We start from the raw sequence: 25,607 nt of genomic DNA on the forward strand, positions 1-25,607 counted from the left end.
TATTTTGCACACGAGTTGATGCAGTTTCTTTATAGTGTCATTGATCCTTGTATTTCAGTGTGTTTTTGCAGTGGCTGATACTGGTTTTTCCTTTCTGCCCCCCATGTTCATATATTTATTCAGGAGTATTTACCACCTATGATAGGCCAGGAATTATTCTCTTCTTGGCCCTAAAGATAAAGAGGTGAACAGGATACATAATTCTGATAATAATAACTTTAGATAACTGCTATGAAATGAAAGACAGAGTGGAGTTATCAAGAGTTATTGAGTGGGGGAGTGGTGAGAAGTTGTAATTTTAAATAGATTAGTCAAGTAACTCTCACTACCACCACCACCACCATTTCAGGCAGTACCATGTGATTTAAGGAGGAATAGAAAACATTAGGTGGAATGATGGAGGAGAAAGTAGATTTTGAATTGAACTATAAAGAATGAAGAGAATTTTGAACAAATAAGGGAGGAGATGTGAATTCCAAATTAAGGGAATCGTCATAATAGTGGTATGTAGTCAGGAAAGATCAAGCCATACCTGGAGAAGAATTATTTAGGGTTCCTGCAGGAGATGAGTTACAAAGTAGGTAGTACTTAGATTTTATAGACAGTGGTTACAAATATATTTAGTTAAATGAAGAGTGTGCCAGTAAGCCAGTAGAGTTTATTAAAACAAAAACAGTATAGGAGACTGTACATAACACCATGTTAAGAAAGTTAACTCAGAAATGATGTGCAGGGTACATTAAACAGAATAGGAATGGAGACAAGGCACTCCACTAGAACACTATGACAACATTACACAAAAGAGGGGCTGGGAAGTCAAGACTTAATCAAGGGAGGCATCAGTAGGTATGGGAAGAAAAAGAAGACGGTCCTGAGAGAATAGTGAAGAAAGACACTAGACAACTTGTATCTACCTGATCTATAAGCCTTTTTCTATCTCTCTTTCAATCTCTTAGGCTCTTACATTGTATGTTATTTATTTTCCCTTCTTGGTATCTCTAAGTCTCTTTATCTTTTAAATTTTCTCTCCAGTGTCTGTATTTATTTCTCTCTTCCACCACTTAGTCTTCCTTCCCATTTGTCTTGACTTCATAACTGTACTTTACATGGTAATAACACATAGAAAATAGTAATTAAGTACTTTTACTTTTAACATTAGTAATTTCTACTTTTTTTTCTAAATTTAGTCATTATATAACTAAGACTTTTTATTCCCCATCAAAAAACCCTTGTTTTTTCTGTATGTTTTATCTGATTCTGTTTTCTAAATTTTTAGCGAAAAAAGTTTCCCAAATTTAAGATACTCTATAAAATAGTAATATGTTTTGGGGACTTAGTTTTAGAAAAATCCCTCAGGAAATTCTGCCTTTTGAATAGAATAAAGAATGCATGTCAAATGGGATTGAAAATTATGACTGTCTTCATTCCAATGTGAAGATAAATTGGCCTTGGCCCATGCAGCAGGTGATAAAATTAAAATTAGCTACCAACAGATCTGGAGGTAAAACATCACTTTACTGTGTTTACATTTCTTAATCTATTGGTGATGATGTTTTATTAAGAAGGGCCTACTAAAGAAAGAAAGGTCAAAAGCATGGCTTAAGTAGTAAGAACAGAAAAATATGACACACATATGAGGAATGTGAAGAAAAATATTTCACATTATTTAATATACAGAAAGCAATATGAAAAAGCAGGGAAATTTTCAAGTGATGAAGTCCATTAAACAAATATCTCATGAAAGAGGGAAACAGTCTTTGAATGCAAAATTCAGGAATGGAAAAATAAATAAGAAGATAATATCTAAAGAGAGCAACATTGATATCTCTCATAGAACTAACTAAAGCTCAAGAATAAGTACACTTAGACTGGAGTGTATCAACTCTTCAATATCTGTCCCAACATTGCAATTATCTTTTAAACTTTCAATAAAAACAGCTGACTGGTGAAAAAGTTAATTTTGTAGTATAAGATTATTGAACCTGTGAGGTTCAATAAGTGAGTTTACTATCCAAAGAGGAAATTGGTGGCTGCCACTTGCTCCCTATAGTTTTGACAGCTTCTTTGATGTCCTTATTCCTCAATGTGTAAATTATAGGGTTTAGCATGGGGGTAACAACACTGTACAACACTGAAACCAACCTATCTTTCTTTAATGAGTAAGTTGAGATGGGCCGTACATATGTAAAGATGGCGCTGCCATAAAAGAGAAAGACAATGGCCAGGTGGGAGGCACATGTAGAGAAGGCTTTTCGTCTTCCCTCTGAGGACTGGATCCTCAAGATGGTGGAGATTATGCAAATGTAGGAAAGTACGATACAAAGGAAAGGAGTCCAACCAATGAAGACCCCAGTGGATAGCAGTGCCAACTCATTGACAGAAGTGTTTCCACAAGACAAGATCAGCAAAGGGGGGATGTCACAGAAGAAGTAATTAATCTGATTGTTGCCACAGAAGGGCAGGCAGAATGTCAACACTGTATGCACCACTGAGTTAAGGAAACCAGCAGCCCAGCATGAGGCTGCTAATTGATTGCATAGAACCTTGCTCAGAATAACTGAATACCTTAAAGGATTGCAGATTGCAATGTAACGATCATATGCCATTGCTGCCAGTAGGAGACACTCTGATCCTACAAAGAAAACAAATGCAAAAAGTTGAACCACACACCCCACATAAGAAATGCTTTTTTTCTTTGAGAGGAGGTGCACCATCATCTGGGGGACATTGCTGGTGGTGTAGCAGATGTCAATAAAGGCCAAGTTCCCTAGAAAATAATACATAGGTGTATGCAGGTGTGGATCAGTCACAGTCGTCAAGATAATTAATATATTTCCTCCCAAAGTACAGAAATAAGTCAGAAAGAAGATGGTGAATAGTAAAAACTGCAATTCATTTAGGTTGGAGAATCCCAAGATGATGAATTCAGTTATAGCTGTTTGATTCTTTCTTTCCATGATGTCGCCTGGTTTCCTTTCAGGAATTGGGCAAAGAGAAGACCAGATTATAAAAATGAATCATATGCTGCAATAGCATGACCTGAAAAATAAGGGAAAAAACGGTTACAAATAAAAGTAATCACCATTTATGTCAAACCAGAGAAGCAGCATTCTTTTGCAAACCATAGCTCCTACCTACCATGCAACACAGATATAAATACATCCAATGTTTCACCTGCAGATCAAATCTTTTTAAATATACAACACTGGAAGTTTTAAATTAGAATACAAATGGACACCATATGTCCTAGAGTTCTCTGTTAATAATGGCTGGGTCATGCTCACCGGCATTTTCTTGGGGATGTGTGAACTTGTGCTGTAGAATGCGATTTCTAGAAGAATCTCTGGTATTCATTTGCTTCTTTGAAGCCATCCCTGCTCTCCTTTTTCATACTTCAACGTTAATATAAATTTTGTTTTATATTCTTTTCCGATTAAAATTAATGTATTTGTTTTAGAATATTTGGGAAAAATATAGAAAAGAAAATTTAAAACATTAAAAATCTTTAGTAGTCACCAGAGAAAATCTCTATTAATGATTTGGTATATGTTCTTCTGATCCATTTTCCATATAGAAATGTTGAATAGAGGATCAAAAGTACCTATTTTAATCTGATTTTTCCTTAATTTTCCGTGGCAATACATTTTATGCTAAAACATGATCTTTGAGTTGTATTCAAGTATTTGTATGAATATAGCAAAGTTTTTATATATCCCACCCTTATTAATGAATATTTATATTGTTTTATTTGTTCATTTTTGATATGATAAATTTCAACAAGAAGCATATTGAATTAGATTCCCTGAATTTGGGGTTAGGTTATCTGAATTTTTATAAACTTTCCAAGAGACTTATCCTAATGAATTAGAAACCTATTGCTATAGATCATCAATCTGGAAAATTCAAGAGCTATTTGGCTGGTGCAGGAATTAGTGTCTGTTTCAACAAATTATTGTTAAGTGCTTCATATAGAAGGATGCTGATAATCTCTGAGCACTTCCTACACAGCATCTCATTTAGTCTTTACATAAATCCTTTAAGATAAGTAATATTTATCATTCCCATTCTCTGGATGAGAGCACCAAGCCTCAGCAAGATAAACGTCTGGAAGATGTCACGCAGCTAGCAGGTAAAAAAAAGGTAGGTTTATCACTCCCAAAGCTAATATACTTTCAGTTGAGTGGCTAAAAATTTAATTTCCATTAACTTATGACAACAGAATGCCCTTAAAAAACACTTCTCTTGTTTTGAATATAACCTACGTTCATACAACTGAATTATTTTAACTGGTTACAAATTGTTATGACTTCTATTTCTGACTGTTAATGGCAATGTGCTATGCCTGCAGTGTTTTGATGGTTAAATCCAATTGTTTCTAAATACCTGGTTTTTATTTGAATATGTTTATTTGAACAATCAATTTCTAGTGTAGTTTTTTATTTCCTGGACCAGCTATAGATTAATTTAAATGTTCATGTTTGTGTTATTAAAAGATACTCTTCTAGAGCTTAGTTTAAGTTGGTTAATAAAAATGTTTAATAAAATTAAAACAGTTGTAGGGAGAATCCCCTAATTTAAAATGCTCAGGGCCTAATTCAAGTGAGAAAAATTAATCTGCAGTTTGATGTTTGAAGCAAATTATAAAAACTTAGATAAATAAAACAAAATAAAAACTTAAAAATGAAGATAATTGTTGTATATTCATTCAAACTATATACTTTATCGATTGCCCTCACCTATAGACAAATATGCATTTCAATGTCAAGTTTGAGAGGTGGCTTAATTGTGCTTTTGTTGTAATTGCTGTCTTCTTTCCTCGTGAACTACTGTGGATATTTTTAATGAAGGGAGAGGATAAGTTGAAAAAATTCACATAATATAGTATTTCACATTACCACAACTGAATAAATTCACTGGGACAATTTTCATTCCATCTACAGAAGAACTCCAAAATTGTATTCTCAAATCAATCTTTTTCCCTATTCCAAATCTCTATCTCCCCTTTCATCTTTTTTAACATTTCCTTCCACTTCTGAGGAGGAATTAACCCTTCTACTCATTTTATTCAACAAATGTATTTTAAGGCAAAAATGTGGAAAAAAGGGAACTGGCACAGTGTTAATGGAAATGTAAATTAATAGAGCCATTTTGGAAAACAGTGCAGTTTCTTCAAAAAACTAAAAATGCAACTACTATGTGATCCAGCAATTCCACTTCTGGATATATATTCAAAGGAATTGAAATCAGTATCTCAAAGAGATATCTGCACTCCCATGGTCTTTGCAGCATTATTCACAGTAGCCATGGAAACAACCTAAATCTTCACCAATAGATGAATGACTAAAGAAATGTTATATATACCTGGTGGAATACTATGCAGCCTTTAAAAAAAGAAAATCCTGTCATTTCTGACATGGGTTAAGCTAGAGGACATTATGCTGAGTGAAATGAGCCAGGCACAGAAAGACAAGTATTGCATGATCTCCCTTATATGTGGAATCTAAAAAGGTCAAATCTATTGAGGTAGAAAATAGAATGGTGGTTACCAGAGTTTGAGGTAGGAGTGGACAGGGGTGGACTGGTCAAAGGGTACAAAGTTTCAGTTACACAGGAGAAGTAACTTCTAATGATTTATTGTATAGCATGGTGACTATAGTTAAAATGTATTGTATATTCCAAAATTGCTAATGGAGTGGATTTTAAATATTTTCCCCACAAAGTAATGATAAGTATGTGAGGTGGCAGATATGTTATTTAGCCTGCTGTACTCATTCCAAAATATATACATGCATTATAACATCACGTTATATATATACTGCAGACTAGAGTGGTGACAATTTGGTTGGATAGAAATAGAGGCATTTGAGAGATATTAGAATATACAGTGTTACAATTTTGGTATAAAATGACGAAGAAGGATAAATTAAGGATAGTAGTTATAACCAACATATATTAAATGCTTATTATAACATAACCATTCAACAATCATTGTATTACCCAGTTCACATGCCCACACACACTAAAAACGCACACGCACACAATGAAAGAGACATATTATGTCCACATTACAAGTAAAAAATTTTAAAATAAGTTTCAGAGAAATTAAATAATTTGCCTAAAGTTACTCAGACTTGCAGTGGTGTTATTGGGTTTTACATTTCACTTTGTGGCCTAAACGAGTGCACTGTGCTGATCTAGATTCCTGGATTGAACAAGCAGATGGCTGGGGGTGTCATTCTCTGAAATGAAAGCAGGAAATTGGCACTTGTTGGCAAATCTGGCAAGATGGCTGAATAGGAACAGCTCTGCTCTGCAGCTCCCAGTGAGACCAATGCAGAAGGCAGGTGATTTCTGCATTTCCAACTGAGGTACCAGTTAGGTAACTGGTTAGGAAGCAGGTGCAGCACCTGGAGGGCAGGCAGAAGCATGGTGTGGCATCGCCTCACTCGGGAAGTGCAAGGAGCTTCCCCAGCCAAGGGAAGCTGTGAGGGACTGTGCTATTCACCCACATACTACACCTTTCCCACGGTTTTTGCAATCCGCAGACCAGGAGATTCTCTCATGTGCCTACACCACCAGGGGCCTGGGTTTCAAGCACAAAACTGGGTGGCTGTTTGGGCAGACACTGAGCCAGCTGCAGGAGTTTTTTTCATACCCCAGTGGCACCTGGAACATCAACAGACAGAACTGTTCACTCCCCTGGAAAGGGGGCTGAAGCCAAGTGCTCTCACTCAGCGGGTCCCACTCCTATGGAGCCCAGCAAGCTAAGGACCACTGGCTTAAAATTCTCACTGCCAGCACAGCAGTCTGAAGTCGACCCTGGATGATCGAGCTTGTTGTGGGGAGGGGCATCCACCATTAGTGAGGCTTGAGTAGGCAGTTTTCCCCTGACAGTGCTAAGGAGGCCTGGAAGTTTGGACTGGGTGGAACTCAACACAGCGTGGCAAAGTGGCTGTGGCCAGACTGCTTCTCTAGATTCCTCCTCACTGGGGAGGGCATCTCTGAAAGAAAGGCAGCAGTCCCAGTCAGGGGCTTAGAGATAAAACTCCCATCTTCCTGGGACAGAGCACCTGGGGGAAGGGGCAGCTGTGGGCGCAGCTTCATCAGACTTAAGCATTCCTGCCTGCCGGCTCTGAAGAGAACAGTGGATTCTGACAAGGAGGGTTCTCCCAGCACAGCGCTCAAGCTCTGCTAAGGGACAGACTGCCTCTGCCAGTGAATCCCTGACCCCAGTGCCTACTGACTGAGAGAGACTCCCCAACAGGGGTTGACAGACACCTCATAGAGGAGAGTCCAGCTGGCACTGGGCTTCCCTTTGGGATGAAGCTTCCAGAGGAAGAAGCAGGCAGTAATAGTTGCCGTTCTGCAGCCTCCACCGGTGATACTCAGGCAAATAGGGTCTGGAGTGAACCTTGAGCAAACTGCAGCAGACCTGCAGAAGAGGGGCCTGACTGGTAGAAGAAAAACTAACAAACAGAAAGCAATAACATCAACATCAACAAAAAGGACCCCCACACAAAATCCCATCCAAAGGTCATCAACCTCAAAGATCAAAGGTAGATAAATCCACGAAGATGAGGAAAAACCAGCACAAAAATGCTGAAAATTCCAAAAACATTCTTCTAGAGAAAAATGTCTTTTCTCCAAATGATTGCAACTCCTCTCCAGCAAGTGCACAAAACTGGGCAGAGAATGAGTTTGATGAATTCACAGAAGTAGGCTTCAGAAGGTGGGAAATAACAAACTCCATTGAGCTAAAGGAGCATGTTCTAACCCAATGCAATGAAGCTAAGAAATTTGACAAAAGATTACAGGAACCGCTAACTAGAAGTTTAGAGAAAAACATAAGTGACTTGATGGAGCTGAAAAACACATCATGAGAACTTCATGAAGCATACACAAGTATCAATAGCTGAATTGATCAACCAGAAGAAAGGATATCAGAGATTGAAGATCAACTTACTAAAATAAGGTGTGAAGACAATATTAGAGAAAAAAGAGGGAAAAGGAAGGAAAAAAGTCTCCAAGAAATATGGGACTATGTGAAAAGACCAAACATGTGATTGGGTGGTATACTTGAAAGTAACATGGAGAATGAGACCAAGTTGGAAAACACACTTCAAAATATTATCCAGGAGACCTTCCCCAACCTAGCAAGACAGGTCAACATCCAAATTCAGGAAATACAGAGAACACCACTAAGATACTCCTCGAGAAGGGCAACCCCAAGACACATAATCATCAGATTATCCAAGGTCGAAATGAAAGAAAAAATGTTAAGGACAGTCAGAGAGAAAGGTCAGGTTACCTACAAAGGGAAGCCCATCAGACTAACAGTGGATCTCTCCGCAGAAAACCCACAAGCCAGAAGAGAGTGGGGACCAATATTCAACATTCTTAAAAAAAAAGAATTTTCAACTCAGAATTTTGCATACAGCCAAACTAAGCTTCATAAGTGCAGGAGAAATAAAATCATTTACAGACAAGCAAATGCTGAGGGATTATGTCACCACCAGGCCTGCTTTACAAGAGCTCCTAAAGGAAGCACTAAACAGGGAAAGGAAAAAGTAGTACCAGCCACTGCAAAAACACACCGTAATATAAAAACCAAAGACACTATGAAGAAACTGCATCAACTAATGTTCAAAGTAACCAACTAGCATCATGATGAATGGATCAAATTCACACTAACAATATTAATCTTAAATGTAAATGGGCGGCTGAATGTCCCAATTAAAAGACACAGACTGGCAAATTGAATAAAGTGTCAAGACCCATCAGTGTGCAGTATTCAGGAGACCCATCTCATGTGCAAAGACACACATAGGCTCAAAACAAAGGGACAGAGAAATATTTACCAAGCAAATGGAAAGAGAAAAAAAAAGCAGGGGTTGCAATCCTAGTCTCTGATAAAACAGAATTTAAACCGACAGAGATCAAAAAAGACAAAGAAAGGCATTACACAATGGTAAAGGGATCAATGCAACAAGAAGAGCTAACTATCCTAAATACATATGCACCCAATAAAGGAGCACCCAGATTCATAAAACAAGTTCTTACAGACCTACAAAAGACTTAGACTCCCATACAATAATAATGGAAGACTTTAACACTCCACTGTCAATATTAGACAGATCAATGAGACAGAAAATTATCAAGAATATTCAGGACTTGAATTCAGCTCTGGACCAAGCAGACCTAATAGACATCTACTGAACTCTCCACCCCAAATCAACAGAATATACATTCTTCTCAGCACCACATAGCAATTATTCTAAAATCGACCACATAATTGGAAGTAAAACACTCCTCAGCAAATGCAAAAGAATGGAAATCAAAACAAACAGTCTCTCAGACCACAGTGCAATCAAATTAGAACTCAGCATTAAGAAACTCACTCAAAACCTCACAACTACATGAAACCTCACAATTACATTAACAACCTGCTCCTGAATGACTACTGGGTAAATAATGAAATTAAGGGAGGAATAATGAAGTTATTTGAAACCAGTGAGAACAAAGAGACAATAAACTATAATCTCAGGGACACAGCTAGAGCAGTGTTAAGAGAAAAATTTAGAGCACTAAATGCCCACGTCAGAAAGCAGGAAAGATTTAAAATCGACCCCCTAACATCACAATTAAAAGAGCTAAAGAAGCAAGAGCAAACACATTCAAAAGCTAGCAGAAGACAAGAAATAACTAAGATCAGAGCAGAACTGAAGGAGATAGAGACACGAAAAACCCTTCAAAACATCAGTGAATGCAGGAGCTGGTTATTTGAGAAGATTAACAAAAGAGATAGACTGCTAGCCAGACTAGTAAAGAAGAAAAGAGAGAAGAATCAAATAGACACAATAAAAAATGGTAAAGGAGTTATCACCACTGATCCCACAGTAATAGAAACTACCATGAGAGAATACTATAAATATCTCTATGCAAATAAACTAGAAAATCTAGAAGAAATGGATAAATTCCTGGACACATACACCCTTCCAAGCCTAAACCAGGAAGAAGTCGAATCCCTGAATAGACCAATAACAAGTACTGAAATTGAGGCAGTAATTAGTAGCCTAAAAAAACAAAAAATCTCCAGGATCTGATGGATTCATGGCTGAATTCTACCAGAGGTACAAAGAGGAGCTGGTACCATTCGTTTTGAAACTATTCCAAACAATAAAAAAGAGGGACTCCTCTCTAGCTCATTTTATGAGGCCAGCATCATCCTGATACCAAAACCTGGCAAAGACACAACAAAAAAAGAAAATTTCAGTCCAATATCCCTAATGAACCTCGATGCAAAAATGCTCAATAAACTACTGGCAAACCAAATCCAGCAGCACATCAAAAATCTTATCCACTACAATCAAGTCGGCTTCATACCTGGGATAAAAGGCTGGTTCAACATACACAAATCAATAAACATAATCTATCACATAAACAACCAATGACAAAAACCACATGATTATCTCAATAGATGCAGAAAAGGCCTTTGATAAAATTCCATACCCCTTCATGCTAAAAACTCTCAATAAACTAAATATTGATGGAACATATATATAAAAAAAGACCTATTCACAACAAACCCATAGCCAATATCATAATGAATGGGCAAAAGCTGGAAGCGTACTCTTTGAAAACCTGCACAAGTCAAGGATGCCCTCTCTCACCACTCCTATTCCACATAGTATTGGAAGTTCTGCCCAGGGCAATCAGGCAAGAGAAAGAAATAAATGGTATTCAAATAGGAAGAGAGGAAGTCTAATTGCCTCTGTTTGCAGATGACATAATTGTATATTTAGAAAACCCCATCATCTCAGCCCAAAACTCCTTAGGCTGATGAGCCACTTCAGCAAAGTCTCAGGATACAAAATCAATGTGCAAAAATTACAAGCATTCCTATACACCAATAATAGACAAGCAGAAAGCTGAATCATGAGTGAACTCCCATTCACAATTACCATAAAAAAATAAGATACCTAGGAATACAACTTACAAGGGATGTGATGGACCTCTTTAAGGAGAATTACAAACTGCTTCTCAAGGAAATAAGAGAGGACACAAATGAAGAGAAAAAAATTCCATGGTCATGGATACGAAGAATCAATACTGTGTAAATGGCCATACTGCCCAAAGTAATTTATAGATTCAATGCTATTCCCATCAAGCTACCATTGATTTTCTTCTCAGAACTAGAAAAAACGACTTTAAATTTCATATGGAACCAAAAAAAGAGCCCGTATAGCCAAGACAATCCTAAGCAAAAAGAACAAAGCTGGGCCGGGCGCGGTGGCTCACGCCTGTAATCCCAGCACTTTGGGAGGCCGAGGCGGGCGGATCACGAGGTCAGGAGATCGAGACCATCCCGGCTAAAACGGTGAAACCCCGTCTCTACTAAAAATACAAAAAATTAGCCGGGCGTAGTGGCGGGCGCCTGTAGTCCCAGCTACTTGGGAGGCTGAGGCAGGAGAATGGCGTGAACCCGGGAGGCGGAGCTTGCAGTGAGCCGAGATCCCGCCACTGCACTCCAGCCTGGGCGACAGAGCGAGACTCCGTCTCAAAAAAAAAAAAAAAAAAAAAAAAAAGAACAAAGCTGGAGGCATCATGTTACCTGACTTCAAACTAGACTACAAGGCTACAGTAACCAAAACAGCATGATACTGGTACCAAAACTGATATATAGACCAATGGAACAGAACAGAGGCCTCAGAAATAACACCACACATCTACAACCTGACAAACCTGACAAAACCTTTGTTTTGACAAACCTGAAAAAACCTGACAAACCTGACAAAAACAAGCAATGGGGAAAGGATTCTTTGTTGAATAATTGGTGCTGGGAAAATTGGCTAGCCACATGCAGAAAACAGAAACTGGACCCCTCCCTTACACCTTATACAAAAATTAACTCAAGATGGATTAAAGACTTAAACATAAAACCTAAACCCATACAAACCCTAGAAGAAAACCTTGGCAATACCATTCAGGACATAGGCATGGGCAAAGACTTCATGACTAAAACACCAAAAGCAATGCAACAAAAGCCAAAATTGACAAACGGGATCTAATTAAACTAAAGAGCTTCTGCATAGAAAAAAAAAAAAAAACTATCATCGGACTGAACAGGAAACCTACAGAATGGGAGAAAATTTTGGCTATCTATCCATCTGGCAAAGGTCTAATATCCAGAATCTACAAGGAACTTAAACATATTTACAAGAAAAAACAAACAACCCCATCAAAAAGTGGGTGATGGATATGAACAGACACTTCTCAAAAGAAGACATTTATGTGGCCAACAAACATATGAAAAAAAGCTCATCATCATGGGTCATTATAGAAATGCAAATCAAAACCACAATAAGATACCATCTCACGCCAGTTTGAATGGAAATCATTAAAAAGTCTGCAAACAGCAGATGTTGGCGAGGATGTGGAGAAATAGGAAGGCTTTTACATTGTTGATGGGAGTGTAAATTAGTTCAACCATTGTGGAAGGCAGTGTGGCAATTACCCAAGGATCTATAACCAGAAATACTATTTAACCCAGCAATCCCATTACTGGGTATATACCCAAAGGATTATAAATCATTCTACTATAAAGACACATGCATACGTAGGTTTATTGTGGCATTATTTAAAGTAGCAAAGACTTGGAACCAACACAAATGCCCATCAATGATAGACTGGATAAAGAAAATGTGGCACATATATACCATGGAATACTATGCAGCCATAAAAAAGAATGAGATCATGTCCTTTGTAGGGACATGGATGAAGCTGGGAACCATCATCCTCAGCAAACTATCACAGGAACAGAAAACCAGACACTACATGTTCTCACTCATAAGTGGGAGTTGAACAATGAGAACACATGGACACAGGGAGGGAACCTCACACACTGGGGCCTGTTGGGGAGTAGGTGGCAAGGGGAGGGAGAGCATTAGGACAAATAGCTAATGCATGCGGGGCTTAAAACCGAGATGACGTGTTGATCAGTGCAGCAAACCACCATGGCACATGTACACCTATGTAACAAACCTGCACATTCTGCATATGTATCCCTGAACTTAAAGTAAAGTATATTAAAAAAAAAAAAAAAAAAAGGAAATCCAGGGGGAGATCATGTGTTCAGTTTTGGCCATGCTGAATTTGAGATATCTGAATATCTAAGAAAATATGTTTATTTGACATATTTTGGTATGTGGCCTCAGAGGAGAGGTATGTACTAGAGATACGAATTTGTAACACATCAGCATATAGAGGATAGTTGAAACTACTCCTATGGATGGGAGAGTGTGAAGTAGGAAAAAAGAGAACACAGAATTGAACTTTCTCAGAACTAATTTCCTGCATGTAGAAGCTAAACTATGAGACTAAGAAGGAGAAGCATAAAAGTAGAAATTCAAGGAAGCACTGAATTACAGTTAGTGTATGAAAGAGTGCTGTTATTAAAAGAACTGTTTGTGAAAATAAGGGGCCCCATTTTTCTTGCCAGACCATTCCTCATGAGAAAAGCTATCCTGCAGAGAACTGCCCTCCAACACAAACATAGGTCATTATGAGATGGTATCAGCTGTCCAGTTCTCAAAATAGCGAAGGAGGACACACTTGGCTCAGCAGCCCACCTCCCTTCTCAGGGTTTCTTACACATTAAGAGAAGGAATTACTTTCTCCTGGGGATCTCCTGATGCTTTTGTTTTGTTACCCAAGTCCTCTATGTTCTGTGATCATTGCCCTTTACTTCAAAACATGCCTTTCCCATGTCCCTATTTGTGGGGAAGCTGTTGTGATAAAACGACTAAATGAAATAACTTAAACAATAATGTATTACTCCTCTAAGGTTATTTGCCTTAAAATAAGAATTTTCTTTTTCAGAATAGCCTCTTAATTTTAGTCATTTTTTTATCCACTCAGCCTGTATGTTTTTCTTCCTGCTTTCATTTCTGTCTGCTAATCTACATATTTTTAAAGCTCAGCTTAAATGCCTCTTTTCTCTTCAAGTGAAATGCTTCTGTCCCTTCCTGGAAAATCTATAGGCATTTGTTTCAATCTTGATTATGACACATAACACACAACATACTTATTTGTGTGACATATCACTTGTTTGTCCATAATATCTTATGGTGCATATTCTGTCTTACTAATCTATTTCTCAATGAATTAATACGTAACTGGGGACACAGTGGTCTTACATTCAGTAATGGATTACTACTGTTGGAATATAAGGCAGTATAGCAAAATTTTCCAAGAAAACAATTGTATTTCCTCCCTTTTTTACATACTTATTATGATGTAGAACTTGGAAAAAATGTTCAGACCTTACATATTATTTTTATTCTTATAACATTTATATTAGTTAGAGTAGAGGAGTCTGTAATTTATGGTGGATTACTTATAAGATCAAATAGTTAACAAGTAGTGAACTAAGAGTAGAAAAAAATTCTTCTATTTCCAAATCTAGAACAACATCCTGCAGCTGGTACTCAAATTGTGCTACATGGGTCATTGTTGCCTCTCATAGGCATAGATTGACCCTGAGACAGAATAGAATTCACCACGCAAAGCACAAGTATTTCACACAGAGTTATAGGAAAATTACTGCTTTTCCAAGCAGCCATGGTCTTGACTCCTTACTAAAGAACCGAAACTTGATATAATACAAGGACAACTGAGAAAATGTTTTCAGAATTTCATATCATAGTAAAGAGCTCAAGAATGGCCTCTAAGAACCCACAAGGAGAGGCCCCCAGAAAATTCACGAGAATGTTTGCCCTCCAAGCTCAGTCTTGACTTTTTCATTTCCTTCTAACAGACCCAGTAGCTCTTCATTAAAGAGTGTTCTCAAAAAAGAGACCTTAGAAATTCAGAATCTTAAAATTTCAAATTTTCTCAAAATATACTATCCAATTTCTTACTAAAAACTGAAATCACATAGCAAACGTGAAAATCAGTGTGGCTAAAGCTCAATCAATAATAGCTAGCATGCAAGGTTATTAGATCCACATGAAAGATGGTTTCTTGTGAGAAAGTCACACGAAGTGTGTTCCTGATACTATTCTCTGCAGTCCAGTGGCATTTTAGTCTCTTTTTGCAGAATAAATACACTGTCCTTTATTTAATAAAAAATCGGCAAACCAGCAGAGGGCTATTCTGAATGACATAAAAATTACCCAAAATGAAAGAAGCTTCCTGATTCACATACTCAGTAGGCTGATTGTCACCCAAAGCATGGGACAGACAATTTTATTATTCCCTCCTTTGGAACTCCTCAGGTCATTACACTTCCATCTCCTACACAGTTAGTCTCATATCCAAAAAGCAAGACAGAAAAGTGTATCTCTAAGAGCAATGAAGCTATAGTTAAGCAATTAAAAATACTTACTCACTCACCTGTGATTGGAGATATTGAGCAGAGATTACCATTCAGACTCTGAGAGACTGATATGGGGCTGTTTTTAAGAATACAACGAAGTAACACAAAATAATGTTCCCTACAGAGTCTGTGCTGATAAACTTCTGAGTGATGGGTTTTCTAGGTGAGTGCCAAGACTCTACTCAGTCCCTGAAGGCCAGTGCATGGGACTGGAGTGAGTAAGGAAAATGCCCTTTGGATTAAGAAGATCCCCACATCTTATGGGAATATTTCAAGAGCCTCGGAGACACACGTTGGGGATCTTCAAGCACAAGTCCTGAGACTCACTACTTCTGGTTCCTGCTTCAACCCCTGAGCATCTATTTGTCTTCTAGTGGCTCTGTTGCCATCATAATTATGCTTCAGAAAGTGTCCTGTGGAGTCCGACCTGCTCCAGGTGGACCACTACCTCCTGGCCCACATCTGTCTAGTGAGAAACAACCCACATGCTTCCCCTATTAACACAGGAAATGCAGTTCTCTAGATTTTGCTTCTTGGCCATGTAAGAAATATCAGTCTTTGGACTCCAAAATTCCAGATGTAGAAATCAAGCTCTCTAACTGGTTTTTCTCTCAGCTTAAATTAGGAGAAAGCATCCTCATTTCCTCCTGGAGGTGGGGGAAGCTTACATTGCACACTACTTCGCACTGAAGAAATATTCTTCAGCCACCGAAGACTGATTAGTCCTCCAAATATCTATTCCTTTGCATGTTATGTGTTCTTGAAGATGTATCAAAAACTCACTAACGAATATACAGTATCCATATATTTTGTGATAGATTAAATATTAATTTTGAGCATGACTTGTAAATTAAAAGTATAATTGCTTGATTAATTTTGATCCTATAATTATTTAAGAATTGAGGCAGCTAAGTATGCCACTATCACATAAAAACAGAATTTCTGAATCCTTTGACCTCTAATGATTATATTGCCTGCCCTTTAAAATTAAGAATTTGGATTAAAGAAGAGTTATTTCTCCCAGATTCATATGGTTCTTAATCATCACCTATGGCTTAAAATCAAATCTCAATTCTCAACAAATTAATTACCTACTAGGCATTATCCAATTTCATCACTTGCTAAATTCTTACCGGCTGACTTGGGTACACACAGCAAGAGAGTTATCATCTGAAGATATCTATGAGTGGTTATTTCACTCCAAAAACAGACGATAATAAATTTTGCATTATTCATTTATTGTATCTAACATTCATTACCAATAAGTCTTTTTAAATTTTTTTATTTTATATTTATTTTTAGTTTTTACTTTTTTAAAAAAATTCAACTTCTATTTTAGACATAGTGGATATATGTGCAGATTTGTTACATGGGAATATTGCATGATGTTCAAATTTGGAGTATGGATCTCACCACCCTGGTAATGAGCCTAGTACCTGGCTTGATAGGCAGTTTTTTAACCCATCCTCCCCCATCCCTGAAGCCTCTGGTAGTCCACAGTGTCTATTGTTCCCATACCTATGTTCATGTGTGCTCAATGCTTAACTCCCACTTATAAGTTACAACATGCAGTATTTGGTTTTCTGTTCCTGTGTTAACTTGCTTAGAATTATGCCCTCCAGCTCCATCCATGTTGCTGCAAAGGACATTATTTTATTCTGTTTTTATGGCTGCATAGTATTCCATGGTGCATATGTAACACATTTTCTTTATCCAGTCTGTCATTCCACATCTTTGCTATTGTGAGCAGCGCAACAATGAACATGTGAGTGTATGTATCCTATTGGTAGAATGATTTATTTTATTTTGATATATACCCATTAATGAGATTGCTGTATTGAATAGTAGTTCTGTTTTAAATTATTTGAGAAATCTCCAGACTGCTTTTCACAGTTGCTGGACTAATCCACATTCCCACCAACAGCATATAAGCATTCCCTTTTCTCTGCAGCTTTGATAGCATCTGTTGTTTTTTGACTTTTTAAATAGTCATTCTGACTGGTGTGAGATAATATCTCACTGCAGTTTTGATTTGCATTTCCCTGATAATTAGTGATGCTGATAATTTTTTCGTATGTTTGTTAGCCACATGTATGTCTTCTTTTGAGAGTGTTTTTTCATGTCCTTTGCCCATTTATTAATGGGATTATTGGCTTTCTGCTTGTTGACTTGTTTAAGTTCCCTATAGATTCTGGATATTAGGCCTTTGTCAGATGCATTGTTTGTGAATATCTTCTCCCTTTCTGTAGATAGTGTGTTTGCTCTGTTGATAGTTTCTTTTGCTGTGCAGAAGCTCTTTAGTTTAATCAGGTCTCACTTGTCTATTTTTGTTTTTGTTGCCATTGCTTTTGGTGACTTAGCCAAAAATCTTTTGCCAAGGCCGATGTTGAGAAGAGTATTTCCTAGGTTATCTTCCATGATTTCTATAATTTGAGGTCTTACATTTAAATCTTTAATCAATTTTGAGTTAACTTTTGTATAGGGTAAAAGGTAGGTATCCAGCTTCAATCTTCTGTATATGACAAGGAAGTTATCCCCGCACCATTTATTAAATAGGGAATCATTTCCCCGTAGCTTGTTTTCTTCTTATAAATCTAGGAGTTTGGGGTGTCTTTGCTTTTTATGATGTATAATAAGGGATTTACCAATAATGTGTGCTCTCTAACATTAAATCAGCTGTTTTTTTCCAGTGAATAAATTGAGATTAAATGAGTGTACGTGACTATAAATGGCCATAACAAAAAAGAAATAGATAGGGTAGAGACAAAAAGGAAAAAAAATTTCACTTCCTTTTTAAAGATGATCTATTCAGAATAATAAAAATGAGGTGAAAATAGGAAAATATTATTAAGAGCAAAATAATAGTAGAATCAACTCTTTTATAGAGATATACTCATAGAACAGAGTAGGAAAACAGGGACATCATACACTGAAATATTTGCTCTGTTTGTTTCTACAAAAAAAGGAGAAAAAAAGTTAACAAAGTGTGAATTTAAGATAAGGCCTGGAGTGCTGGCTCACACCTGTAATCCTATCACTTTGGGAGGCAGAGGCAGGAAGATCCCTTGAGCCCAGGAGTTCAAGACCAGCCTGGGAAACATAGGGCGACTCTGTCTCAATTTAAGAAAAAAAAAATATAAGCATCAACCCTGAACAGTATTGCCAGCTACATATGTTGTACCTCGATCAGGAGTGACTACATTAGTGCCTGTGATTTAGATTATATCACACTAATGTTATTGATACTAGAAAGTAGTCGTGTGTACCCACAACAGATAGGAAGATCTACATTCCGCAACCTCAAAAATAATGATTTTTGTGTTTCATTACTTGCCATAATAAAGTAACGAGATTTTCTCTCCTGATTAAACATCTAAAAAATGGAATAAAATATATAAAGCAATGATTTTAATACACTGTACAAGACAGGGTTGGGTATGTCCCATGACCCATCAGCCTGATTGGAACAGCTTGTAATAGACAAGGACTTAGGTGGAGTCCTGAGAAGGATATTACCTTAGTAGTGGGGGCTAAATTAATCTCAGAATAAACAATGTTCTGGATCTACCTTAACAAAAAAAAAAGTATGCCTCAAAATAAGCATAATAATTTAGGGGAAATACAGACATAAAAAGAGAGAGATTTTTTTAAAGACCCACATAGAACTTGTTTAAATAAAAAATACAAAATATAAAGTGAAAAATGCAGTGCATGGAATAAACAGTAGATTAATTACTGCAGAAGAAAAAATCAAGGAACTTGGAGATATAGATATAAAAACAATCCAAAATGAAGCACAGAGAAATCTTTTTAATAAAATGGACAAAGTATCAATGACCTATGTCATAATTTCAAGCAGTCTAACATATGTGCAAGTGGAGTACTAAAGAAGTGTTTGATTAAAAACATTGAAGAAGTAATGACTGAGTTTTTCCAAATTTGATAAAATATATAATCTATAGATCCAAGAAGCTCAATAAAAATTAAATAGAATAAATATTAGAAAACTTTACAATGAACATCATAATCTATTTGCTAAAAAAGTCATAAAGAAAAATCTTAAAATCAGCAAGAGAAAAATCAACACAGTTATTACAAAGGAATAAAGATAAGAATGGCAGCATGCATCCCACCAGAAATTATGTGAGACAGGTAATGGAGCAACAGCTTTAAAGCACATAAACAAAAGTCTGGCAATTTAAAATTTTATATACAGAGAAAACATCTCTTAAAAATAAGGGCAAAGTACTTTTTCATGCCAACAAAAGCTGAAGTAAATTATTACCAGCAGAACTTTACTACAAGAAATAGTTAAGGAAAGTCTTTAGACAACAACAACAAAAAAATGATACGAGATGAAAATCAGTGTCTCCATGAAGGGACCAAAAGTGCCAGAAATTATAAATATGTGTTTAAGTGTAAAAGACATTTTTATTATTTTTAATTACCTTAAAAATAATAGAATTTTTCAAAAAAAACAGAATTGCAGTATCTTGGATACTAATAACATAAGTAAAAGTAAAATGTGTGACATTAAAATCACAAAGCATGAGCAGGGAGATGGAAGTACAGTATGGCATGACTCTAGCAATACATCTTAAATGGTGTAATATTATGTGAAGAAATATTTTGTGAATTTAAAATGTACATTGTAAACCCCAGAGTAACCACAAAAATATAAAATAAAAAGGTATAAATAAAAGGACAATAGTGAAAATATAATGAAATCATAAAAATATTCCCATAAAAAACAGTAAATGAAAGAAGAAGCAATAACGGACAAATAGGACAAATGAAAGGCAAACAGTTGGAGGACAAATTTAAATTTAATTCTATCAAAAATTTAGTTGGAGGATAAATTTAAATTTAATTCTATCAAAAATTTATCAAATTTAAATTGTGCAAACACTCCAACTGAAACAAAGAGCTTGTCACATTGGCTTAATGGGTATGAAAATGCAGTTAGATAGAATGAAGAACTTCTAGTATTCAACAGTAAACTAATGCAGGGACAGTAATGTAGGTTTAGCTTGATTGTGGTAGTCTCTTCACAATGTATACATATACTAAAGCATCATGTTGTGAAGCCTAAATATATGCAATTTTTATTTGTTAATTATACTTCAATAAGCTGGGGAAAAACAAGATATTTTCAATGGCTAGAAAAATCTCTCCCTAAAATTAAATACCCATTAAAAATTCTCTTCAAGAATTAAGATTAACAAAAATGATATTCTAGATAAAAACTGTTGTGAGAAAAATTATCATCAGTACTTTCCTGCTGAAGGAAACACAAAAGGAAAAAAAATAGGCAAAAATAAAGATTATCTCATATGGAATTTCAGTAAGATACTTCTATTACTTGGAAAATTCCAAAGGTTTTTGTCCTAGGAGAAATGCCACATTCTTTTTTACACAGCAGATTCCTACTCTAACCCTCCCCATACTTCCTACCTCCTTAGTTCTCCTTGCCACCGAATTATCCTGACATATGTACTTACGCGTTTGGTTATTTGGGGCCTCCATCACATTAAACTTTATGTTTGATGACATTATGGAATTTGTTTTGCTTGCTCCTGTGTTTCTTGAACCTACTACACTGCCTAATATAATATGTGCTCAAAATTTTTGAAAGAAAAATATAAACCAGGTAAACAAATCATTTCTTACAGTGAAGTGATGGAAATCAGTCTTAATAGAAATCAGATATCCCTCATTAGTCCTAGTGGTGTTGCTGCCAGTCTTTAAACAACTTCCTACCAAAGATTTTCTTCAGAGCCATCATCACTTCTTTGTTCCTAAGGGTGTAGATTAGTGGATTCAGTACAGGGGTGACGGCGCTATACATGATGGCCATTATCCGGTCCTGAATCATGGAGGTGGCTGAAGCAGGACGAATATATGTGAAGCCCACAGGTCCATAGAAAAGACATACCACCATAAAATGGGAGGCACAAGTGGACAGAGCCTTGTGGAGTATTCTGCAGGACCTGTTCTTAAACAGAAGGAAGCCAATTACATAGAAGCAGGAGAGAAGAGTCAGAAAGAAAGCTCCCATGGATATGCTGCCTGTGACAATGGAAAGAAGCCATTGATTGAGTAATGTGTCACTACAGGCCAATTCTAAGAGCGGCTTGACATCGTAGAAGAAGTGATTGAGTTTCTGAGAGCCACAAAAACTCAGGTGTGCAGTCATGACAGAATGCATCAGAGCGTAAAAGAAGCTGATGAGCCAGGCCGCAGCTGCCAACAGAATACACACCTGGGGGTTCATGATGACAGTGTAGCGAAGAGGATTGCAGATGGCAACAAAACGGTCAAAGGCCATGATAGCCAGTAAAATGGCCTCTGTGCTTCCCAAAAAGTGGAAGAAGTGTAGCTGGGTGATACAGCCTAGAAAAGATATAGCCCTGCGACTGCACACGAGGTTTACGAGCAGCTTGGGCAGTGTCACTGAAGAATAAGAAATATCCAGACAAGAAAGGTTTCCCAGAAAAAAATACATAGGGGAGTGGAGTTGTGGTTCCAAAACAACCATCACCAATATAGATCCATTTCCAATCAAGTTTATCAGGTAAATGATTAAGAAAATCCCAAAGAAGAAAGGCTGCAGCTCCTGAACACCAGTCAGGCCAAGTAGAAGAAACTCATTCATTGTAGTGACATTCTCCATTGCTCTGGGAAGCAAATTTAACAATAACAGAATTAATTTTTCTGAATTTTTAATTTTACACTGTGAGGATTAAATAAAGCAAGTTTACTATTTGGAGGAACCTAGGGGTGAGCAACAGTGTGAAGAATAGTTACGAACAGTAAAACTAAATTTATGTACAACAAAATTGAGGAAGACTAATATACCTGATAAATTCTGAGCTGTTAAAATGGCACTAGACTAATAAAAGCATTATATTATGAACAAATCAGATATAGATAAAGGGCATTTGTTTTCAAAACTAGGAAGTGCAAGATTTGATGGACATAATCATAACCTCATGTATGGCATTAGAATTATGTATTACAAAAATTTTAAACATACAAACAGGGAATAGTTTTTCAACTTATGATTCTAGGTTCTGGCAAAAATTCAGATGTAGCTCAGTGGGGATTTCATCACTTCTTCTAAGATACATAAAAGCCACAAGAGAGTAACACATGTCTTCTGACAACCCAAACTTTCAGTGAAAGTAAGAAACATAAACACCCACAAACCAAATGTTGTATGAGTAGAGGAGAAAAAAACAGCAAAATTAGCATCATTAGTCACAAGACTGTGTCATAGCAATGAGGCAGTGGATGTAGTTGGGAAAAACTTGAAATAGTTAGAGGTCCCATTAGTAGAAGAACTTCGAAAACACCCCCAATTTTTCAATCCAAAAGGGGAGTACCTCCCAGGGAGTGAGAATTTCTGTGGGGCAGGGGATAGAAAAAGGCACAGTCTAAGCACTGAAGGTGATGGAGAGAAGAGGTATAGTAAATATATGAAGAACAAAGGAAGCTTGTCATTTGTAAGTAATTAATAATAATAATAATAATAACAATAATAATAATCACCACCTTATCAACAGAAGAGGGAGCCCTTGCACTGAGGAATTGGAAAGGCTAACTAGGATACTCCTCCCACCCATGCCTACTAAGATTCTTCTGCTAATAATTGGTCCACAATATCATAAGTTCTCCAGTGTAAGTTCTCCATAAAATAACTCTAAAAATAGACAGAAATAAAGACATAGTTAAAACCACAATCACAATGAGAAGATTTAACAAGTTTCTCTCTATACCTGACAGAAGAATCAGCCAAAAAGTCAGTAAGGATATAAACATCTGAACAACATAATTTACAAATTTGATTAACATATAAAGAACACTGAACCCAACCAAAAAATAATTCACATTATTTTCAAGTATATCTTGTACATATTTACAAAATCAAGCATGAGTTGAGTATTACCAAAAGGCTTCAAAAGGTTTCAAAAGGTTGAGCTATTCAAAGAATGTCCCTTGACCACACTGGAATTAAAAAACAATAAGAAAAATGCATCTAGAAACTCACCAATTGCTTCATATTATGTAATACACACAAATAATTCATAAAGAAAAAATTCAAATAAAATTAGAAAAAAATTGAAATGAACAATGATGAAGATGAGATATATCAAAACTTTTGGCATATAGCTAAAGAAATAAATAGAGGGAAATTGTCAGCCTTAAATGCATATGTTAGAAAAAAAGAAATATTGAAAAACCAATAACCTAAACTTTCATTTCAAACAGCTAAATGAATGAATGCATGAATGAATGAACAAATAATCCAACAACTCAAACCTAAACAAAGTAGAAGGGAAATAGCTAAAATAATAACAAGAATAATTGAAATAGAAAACAAAAGTTCAATAAAGAAAAGTCAACAAAGTCAAAATTTAGTCATTTGAAAAGATTAATGAAAGTTATCAACTCAGTAAAATTGTTAAAAGAGAGAGAGAATACAAATTTTAAGCTAGTATCACTACAGATACTATCAACGTCAAACATTGTAAAAGGTCGTTATGAACGACTTCATGCCCAAGAATTTGGCAATTTAAATAAAATTTTAAAATTACTTAAACCAAAAGTAACTTACCAAAATTGACAGTAGAAGAAAGACAATTTCAATAGTTTGATATTTATATAGGAAAGTGTAGTTCTTATTCAAAATTTTTCCAGAAAGGAAACACCAAGTCCAGATTTTACTGGTGAATTCTACCAAATAATTAAGGAAGAAATAATAACTTACACAAATACTTTCAAAACAATGAAAAAGGAGCACTTCTATATTTCTTTTATAAGGTTAGCACAACTTTGATACCAACACTTTAAAAAGAACTCAACAGAGGCCAGGCGCGGTGGCTCACGGCTGTAATCCCAGCACTTTGGGAGGCCGAGGAGGGCGGATCACGAGGTCAGGAGATCTAGACCATCCTGGCTAACATGGTGAAACACCGTCTCTACTAAAAATACAAAAAATTAGCCTGGTGTGGTGGCAGGAGCCTGTAGTCCCAGCTACCCGGGAGGCTGAGGCAGGAGAATGGCTTGAACCCGGGAGGAGGAGCTTGCAGTGAGCTGAGGTCGCGCCACTGCACTCCAGCCTGGGCGATAGAGCGAGACTCCATCTCAAAAAAAAAAAAAAAACAAAAAAACTTAACAGAAAGGAACTGCAGACTAACCTGTCTTGTGACTATAGATGCAAAAATCTTGAAAAAATGAATAAAAACAAGCAATATCTACATCGCAACCAAATAAAATTTATTTCAAGATGTAAGGGTAATTTAACATTAAAAAATAAATTAATACAATAGCCATATTAGAGAAAGAAAACAAGAAACACCACAGATGCAGTAAAAGCATTTGATTATATTTAGCACCCACTCATGATTTAATAAAATAATCCTTAGCAAACTAGGGATACAAGGGAAATTAGTTTATTTGATAAAATTAATAAAAAATACCATAAGAAAAGATCATACCTAATGAAGAAACATGAAAAGTTTCAGATCAGGAATGAGACAAGGATTTCTCCTATCATCACTTTTTTGAACATTGTCCTAGAGGTTCTAGCCAGTGTCATAAAGCAAGAAAAAAATAAATAAAATACTTTAGAATTAGAAAGGAAAAAATAAAACTCATTTTCATAGATGATATGCCTGTATGGTTAGAAGATTTCTGAGATATGAGGACATTAAACAAGAATTAAATATATTTTATATGCTAACCACAATCAAATGAAAATAAAATGTCCAATGATATTTTCAATAGCATCAGAAACAATAAATGTATAGAAATAAAACTAAACAAAAATATGTAAGATCTCTATCCTAAAAACTACAAAACATTATTCTGAGGAAATAAAGAATATCTAAATAAATAGAGGAATATGGTATATTCATGGGCTGAAAGATATACTATAATGAAGATGTCTACTCTCCTAAAAGTAATCTGAAAAGTCAACGCAATCCCAGTACAAGTCCCTGATTTTTAAAATATAAAATTGTCAAGCTGATTTTAAAAGTTACATAGAAATGCAAAGGAATGGGGAACCTGAAAACCCCCTGGGGCTGGGTTCTCACCTGCATCTGGAGACCTTCCTGAGCCCCCAGCAACAAAACCACAATGCAGTGCCACTGCACAATAACTAGAACAGTTAAAATAAAAAAGTGATGGAAAACACCAAGTGTCAACAAGGATGTAGAGCACCCTG

General features: G+C 36.2%; 2 protein-coding genes across 2 annotated transcripts; both read right to left on the reverse strand.

The window, feature by feature from the left end:
• Window positions 1-510: 510 nt before the first annotated feature.
• OR5V1 (olfactory receptor family 5 subfamily V member 1) lies at window positions 511-15,627 on the reverse strand. The gene is made up of 2 exons (NM_030876.6): window positions 15,394-15,627; window positions 511-3,039 (listed from the first exon to the last, which is right to left on the reverse strand). The coding sequence occupies exon 2, from the start codon at window positions 2,955-2,957 to the stop codon at window positions 1,992-1,994; it is 966 nt and encodes a 321-aa protein (NP_110503.3). The 5' UTR covers window positions 2,958-3,039; window positions 15,394-15,627; the 3' UTR covers window positions 511-1,991.
• A 4,557-nt stretch (window positions 15,628-20,184) lies between these two features.
• Window positions 20,185-22,053, reverse strand: OR12D3 (olfactory receptor family 12 subfamily D member 3). The gene has a single exon (NM_030959.3). It carries the CDS (start codon window positions 22,047-22,049, stop codon window positions 21,099-21,101), a length of 951 nt encoding a protein of 316 aa, NP_112221.1. The 5' UTR covers window positions 22,050-22,053; the 3' UTR covers window positions 20,185-21,098.
• Window positions 22,054-25,607: the final 3,554 nt, after the last annotated feature.

The sequence above is a fragment of the Homo sapiens genome, chromosome 6 (genome assembly GCF_000001405.40).
Source record: "Homo sapiens chromosome 6, GRCh38.p14 Primary Assembly".
Classification (NCBI taxonomy): Eukaryota; Metazoa; Chordata; class Mammalia; order Primates; family Hominidae; genus Homo; species Homo sapiens.